The 7,406-nt window shown below is 35.7% G+C and overlaps 1 annotated feature.

The window, feature by feature from the left end:
• Positions 273-2,329: an enhancer, noted in NCBI's record as "VISTA enhancer hs1173". NCBI's record gives its function as "enhancer in: neural tube[7/7] | hindbrain (rhombencephalon)[7/7]" and the evidence as "EXISTENCE:transgenic organism evidence [ECO:0001131][PMID:17130149]".

Here is a 7,406-nt window from a genome sequence, read left to right as displayed (position 1 = left end):
CCAACCAATTTAGTACTGAAATTAAAAATGTAAAATTAAACCTAAATAATTTTATAAGGTACCTTGTTATCATTAACCTCAAAAATTTGTCTATCTTCCCCTACATCATTTACTGCTCTAAAATTTGATTATATTGCCTACCATATGTGCATCTGCATTTATTTCCCCTTGGCAAGAGTGGACTTAAACTGATTCCCCCACCAACCTTGTCTGGTTTCTTTTGTAATCAGCTAAAGGCATATAATTTAAGGTGTCTGTCAGAAATTAAGGTGACATTTTGTGACCTGGAAGTGGACAGGGTCACTGGATTATGCTCTTTTCAAAAACTCTATTGCTACGTGGTGGCACTTATTGGAAATTATGTAGATAAATGATGATATAAAGATGGAAGACTTATATCTATTAAGAGGGAGAAAGAGAGAGAGAGACAGAAAATATATTTTTGGGGCCCAGTTTCTGAAAAGAAAGATCTGCCTTTTAAGGAACCAGATCATATTGTGTTCTTCAGTATTATAACACCAGGAGCCTAAAAAGAGAAAAAGAACAGTGGGAGTAAAGCACATTGGACATGCCAATAAATGAATGATAAATTATTAAAGCATGATTGGAAATATTGCCATTTTTCATAGCTGTCACTTTAAGTATAAAAGCATCAGCACATTAAACTAGTTACTGCTTTTTCATAATTGAGACTTTAGCTTCTAGCTGTGCCCTGCAGCTTTTCATTAATCACTGGGACTGAAGTTCAAGCTCAGTGACAGCTTAGAAGGCATTAAACGGGCAAAGTATTTTCCAGGTACAGTTAGGAAAGGCCTTTTAGACCCATAATCCATAGCTAATTGTTTTTCAAAGTCTCTAAACACAATCTACTCCTGCCGTTTCCTAGTGACAGAATTAGCTGCAAACTGGCTTTCTTTTTATCTTCCCAGGCTTTCTCTCACTAAAATATATTGAGAGCCTATTGTTAGCTGCATAGAACAGGTGCAAAATGACTGTGATATGTAAAACTGTAACTGATACTTAACCAAGGAAACATTTATTAGAATGCCTCTGAAACAATGCTTCCTGAATACTTATTCTAATCACACCATTTAATTTGTCATAAAAGAAACAAGATGGCATGAAACTTTGTATACAGGCTGAGTTCACTTTTCTAACGAAAAGAGACTCTGTTGGATTGTTTTAACAAATGCAACTGAATCTTCACCAAACGTGAAGTAAGAATGTGCCTTCCCACATATACGCTTAAACCCCAAGATTCCCAGCATAAGCCCCTCTCTTGTTTTGGTTCATCTTTTTTTATTTTCTTTTTACTTTTCTGCAAAGTGTTGTACATCAGGTTTTAATGAATGTGCCAAAACATTCTTTCTTTTGTATAACAAATTATCAAGAGTATTGAGGTTCATTAATTATGTCATCTAATTGGTTTGAGGCAGGTGCAAAATACCTCAGATGAAGTGGTCACTGGCAGGAAGGCCTAAGTGCAAGTTTTTCTATTAGAAACCAGCATGTCTCCAGACTCCTGGAATTACTTTGTAGTTATTGATTAATGGCCATAATTTATTACAGTGTAGAAGATCTTGCATTGAGTTAAATGTGTGATTAATCAATTTTCCATCAAATTATGAACAGCAGACCAGTTGCCAGAAAGAAAATACCAAGTGCATTTTCCCATGGTGTAAATATATCAGGACTTCAGCTAATAACTGTCTATCACTTGCTTAATATTCTCTGTCACACTGATAAATGTCATCTCCACAAATGGGCCACAGGTAGTAATGATGGAAAGACCACCAAACATGTTTTATAGCTACCTTTCCTATATAATGAAATACTCTTTGAGTCCATCTCAAAACAATTTATTAATGCAAAATTCATTTCTGCCTTCAGCTTGAAATACATCATTGTTAAGTCAACAGTCTTATATTAAACTGGGAAGGGATATTGAGGAAAGAAAACCTTAGGCAAAAGAGAGATGAATTTTGGACTTCTGTGCACAACAGCTCATTTTTATTTTCCGTCAAAAATTCAGACATGTGACTAATTGTTGTCAGTTCTAATCTGCTTTTAAAGTGTGGCTCATGTGTGGCTTGGGAACACTAAAGGGACCTGCTGATGGAAGAAAACACATTTCGTTCCAAAGGTTAATTTCTTGGGTTAAATAACAGGTATTGTGAGGGTTCACAAATTAATTGTCTCCTATGAGCAAGGATACTTCATCTTACAACTAAACTAGATGGATGCTACCTCCTTAAAAAAGCACAAAAGACAAATGAAAGTGATGAGGTAACATTATAGTAATTGGATCAATCAAGTGTTTAAAAAGTGAAGTATTAAAATCTATGCATAGAAATAAAAACTGATTAGGATATATAAAGATTTAACTGGAATAAATAAATGTAAACATAGCAGTGACGAGTCACTGAGCCATCTCAAACCACAGGTAGTAAAACAGTACATATAGCAATTTAAAGGAAGCTGAACCATGCTTGGGCAATGCTAAAGGAGACTTAAAAATGCTAGAGCAGAAGGATCTTAAAGATCACCATTCTTCTGCTTCCCGCAGCAGGGACACAAGTGATCCCGTGGTGTGAGGCTTGCTGTGTGGATACCAGTCACCAGCTTTTTCTTGGTGATTCTACAGACTCCAACTCCATGAGGTAGGGCTTTTAACATCAGAGCATTCTGTCTTTCAATACTAGGACATAAACACTTGGAAAACGCTCTGGTGCAAGTTCAGTCAGTGAAAATACCTACAAGGTGCATCTCGACATTTTAGGCCCTCTATCTTGAAGCTGCGGAAATAGAATGGGTTCCACTCTACCTGATCTGAAATTAGGAAATTTTTTTTGGCATCAGCCTACTCCTTAATACAGAGCCACTTCTCTATCTCCAGAATACTTGGTTTTATTGTAGTAGGAGGAGGAGGACTTTTAAAGTAGGACACCTGTGTAAACAGGTGCAAACACTTTCCCCATTGTCATAGTCCCCAGGCTGAGTATATCATCAAGTCCCCAAACCTTGTCTTCTCCAAGAGCAGTTACATTCTCTTAATGGTTTTAGATTCCCCAACTTTCTCAACTACAGGTGCAAATAGATATGAATTAAAAGCTGTATCTAAAAGCTATATCTAGCACCATTTCGATTAATATATTTACTGTGTAATTTGGAAAATATAGCCATGAAGATAGTTCCCCAGGCCTCCTTTTAATGCCACACAAGAAATTCATTTTAATGGTTCTTTATTTCCAATTTCCTCCTCCTGTATTATATAGAATTTTTAAGTATGCTTCTGTTGGATGTTTTATGCTAGGTATTAAAATTCTGCAATTCCTCAAGCTCAAGTCTCAATCATTTTAACACCTATTAAATCTTTTCAGTTAGAAGGGATCAAACTTATTTTCCTTGGAAGAAGGAGGATTAGGGCTTTCCACATGCCTAGCAAAAGCATATATTACAGAGATATTTTCCTAGTCCTATAGAATTCTCAAGTTGAATCTCACTCTGACACCCACCTTAATATTCTTTTTTGGTTGCACCATATCTTGAGATAGACCTCAAACTTACCACACAGAAAGAAGTTTCTGCTGCAGGAAAGGGAAGTAGCACTAAAAAAGCCACATGACTATAGTGGAGAAATTGGAATCTTTGTGCATTGCTGGAGGGAATGTAAAATGGTAAGGCCACTACGGAAATTCACATGGCAGATCCTCAAAAAAATTAAACATAGAATTACCATATGATCCAGCAATTCCACTTCTGGACATATACCCCAAGAATTGAAAGCAAGAACATGTATTTGTACACCTTTGTTCATAGCAGCACTATTTACAATAACAAAAAGGTGAATTTTAAAAATGTGATGTATACATACAATTGAATATCATTCAGCCCTTAAAAAGAAGGACATTCTAACATATGCTACAATATGGATGAACCTTGAAGACATTATGCTAAGTGAAGTATTCCAGTCACAATAGGACAAATTCTATATGACTCCACTTATATGAGTAGCTAGAGTAGTCAAATCTGGAGAGGTAGAAAGTAGAATACTGGTTGCTTGGTGTTGGGGAAAGGGAAAATAGGGAGTTATTGTTTAATGGGTATAGAGTTTCAGTTTTGCAAGATGAAAAGAGTTTTGGAGATGGATAGTGGTAATGGTTGCACAACAAGGTGGATGTACTTAATGCTGATGAGCTATACACTTAAAAATGGCTAAAACAGTAAATTTTATGTTATGTAAATTTTTCCACAATAAAAGATAGAAGAATGACATGACTATTAAGACAGGGGCAAGTGGAAAAAAGGAAAACAGTTCAGAGGTGGCCTTGCTACTGTGGATTTGAACTCTCCTCCATATAGTACAGACACTGGAAAGGTATGGCCAGTACCCTTTAAGCCAGGGGCCCCCAACCACAGATTGGTTAGGAACTAGGCCACGGAGCATGAGGTGGGCAAACAAAGCTTCATCTGTATTTACAGCTGCTCCCCATGGCTTGCATTATTACTGCCTGTGCTCCACATCCTGTCAGATCAGTGATAGCATTAGATTCTCATAGGAGCATGAACCCCACTGTGAACTGTCCATGTGAGGGATCTAGGTTGCATGCTGCTTTTGAGAATCTAATGCCTGAAGATCTGTCACTGTCTCCCATCACCCCCAGATGGACTGCCTAGTTGCAGGAAAACAAGCTCAGGGCTCCCACTGATTCTACATTATGGTGAGTTGTATAATTATTTCATTTCTTATTACAATGTGATAATAGAAATAAAGTGCACAATACATGTAATGTGGTTGATTCATCCTAAAACCCTCTCCCCCACTCCAGGTCTGTGGAAAAATTGTCTTCCACAAAACTGTTCCCTGGTGCCAAAAAGGTTAGGGACCACGGCTTTAAACAATGCAAAATATGACTGATCAACATGTGGAGAGGTTTAGTAAGTTCAGTTATGTAAGGTGTCACTGTTGGGTACATTTCTATTTCTCAAGAAAGAACCAAACAGGTAAAAGAGTGACTGATTTGGTGGGCACTATGCAGCAAGCACTGTGTAACCCTGGAACTGAAGTCTTTAATTTGTGTGCATCACTGATTCTTCAGTGGCTATAGGTTTGGAATCCAGCTCACAAGTTTGAATATGTTGCTACTGCTGCCACAGCAGTGCAGAGAGTGTATGCCATTTTAGAGGGGCAATCATTACTTGCCTCCAACAATTGTGGCAGTGTGAAAAGAAGGTTGTTTCCAGATCTTCCAATTTTTAAAAGGAAATCCAAAATACAGAAAATACAGACATTTATTAAAAACTTCAATGTTTAAATATTGGGAAATAATACCAAAAAAATCCTTAAAATACTGGGTGTGTTTTAACCTCATAACAAATTTAGCCTTTAAGTCATCATTTTGTTTTTCCTACGTCAATGAATCAGGCCAAATCCTCTACCTCTGTAAATCCTTTTCTAGACCATACTGGCTAGAAGCTATCTCTCTCTCTCTTTGCTGATCTATTCATATGCAAAACAGATGTCACCTTTCTTTATTGCGTTGGTGTGTGTGTGTATGTGTTTGTGTGTAGATGTATAATATTGACTACTACAAAATAAGCTCTTTGAGAAAAGAATACAATTATTCATCTTAAAGTATATCCATGATGCAGTATCTTATATCTATATCTGCTAAATAAACACTAGCTAAATGTATAAATATATGAATCAATGAATGAAAGCTAAGTGGGGTGATAACCTCAAATAATATCATGTATTAAACCAGAAGCATATTTCCAAAATCCATGTCAGTTTGCTACTTTTTCCTTTTAAAATTATAAATGTATTTATGTGTAAAGTTTGTCTTTTTTCATCTTTGTATATCTTCCTTTCTCTTCCATGTACTAAATGCTATGACATATTAATAATTTTTTAGTCATCATCTGTATGTCTCCCTTTCTCTTCCATGTACTAAATGCTAAGATGTATTTATTAATTATTTTTGTCCTGATTAACTGTTAATTAAATACCACAATTTATATATTAAATAAATTAATTCTCACACAAACCCTATGACACAGGTGCTATTATTGCCCTTAATTTCATACAAAGAAACTGAGAGGTAGAGTAACTTGCCTGAGAGCACAGACAGTAGGTAACAGAGCCAGAAATGGAACCTAAGCAGCGGGAGTCTTAACCATCACGTTAGGGTGTTTCTGTTAAACATTCCTGGAAAGTGTCAACAGGGACTACTTCAAGGCCTGGAAATGGGAGGAAGGATAAGAGAATTAAAAAATCAATGGTTTTCATTCTTTTTTGGCTAAAACTTAGTTTTTGTTTTTTTGCTTTTGTCTTTACTTTTTTTCTTCTTTTATAATAAAAGGGATGTAGCTGCATTTGTCAGATCATGGTTGAATTGAAACCATAGGTTGGCCACCAATACAAAAGTGCAGCAAAAATCAAGGAAAGCATTCTGTGACAATCAATTGGTTATGTGGAATTTATAATACAGTATTGCATATTTTATTTTTTAAATTGTGTGCTGCACATCCTTTAGATCAGTAAAATCTATAATAATTTGTGTTTATATATACATGTATACAATATATACAATAAATGTATACATATACATACTCATACATTTTGTCCTGGAGAACCATTTACCACACACCATTCTAATGGAAAAGCTGTGGACATATTTGAGATCTAGCTAATGGAAGCTGAGTTGGAGATTCTTTTACTTTGGCTTAGTGGGATATATTTATGAGGTTTGCAGTCACTTCTATGTATAGCTAAGTTATTGTTAGCCATACACATTTAGGCAAGGCTTCTATAAATATTTCAACTGCTCGCTGTGCTGACTTACCCAGTGCAAGGACATAAAAGTACAGGGCCAGAGATTGTGTTTTGATATGAACATACCTGTGGTGCCCAGTGCAGGAAGTTCATGGCTTGTGGTAAAGAAACGGGAGCCAGAAGTTAGTCTGTGGAGAATTCCTCCAATTAGCAGCCATGAAAATTATTAGCAGAAAATTAGGGTATCCTTGACATCTATTAAATTCTGAAAATTTCCCTGTCAGAAACATACACAATATTTGAGGGTTTACATCTATAAACATACCATAAAATACATACCTGATTTGGGAAAAAATAGCTTTTAAAGTAGAAGGAAAAACTATAAAGAAAGACCTTTGGATACCTTTTTTTCTCTCTTAATGGAAATGGCATATTTGACAAAGCTAGAATTCTGCCTTTTAACTGCATTTTGGAAAATGTTTTAGGCCATTTTAATAAAAACAACTGAAAAATTATAATAATCTGACTTGGGCATGTATGAAAGTTACCTTCTTTTGCTTTCTTTACCTTATTTTAAAAAAAACTGAGAAAAGTCAGATAAAAATAAATGAATATTAAAGAAAGGTTATAA

Source organism: Homo sapiens, chromosome 3 (genome assembly GCF_000001405.40).
Source record: "Homo sapiens chromosome 3, GRCh38.p14 Primary Assembly".
In the NCBI taxonomy this organism is placed as follows: domain Eukaryota; kingdom Metazoa; phylum Chordata; class Mammalia; order Primates; family Hominidae; genus Homo; species Homo sapiens.
This window is presented reverse-complemented; position numbering and strand designations above follow the sequence as displayed.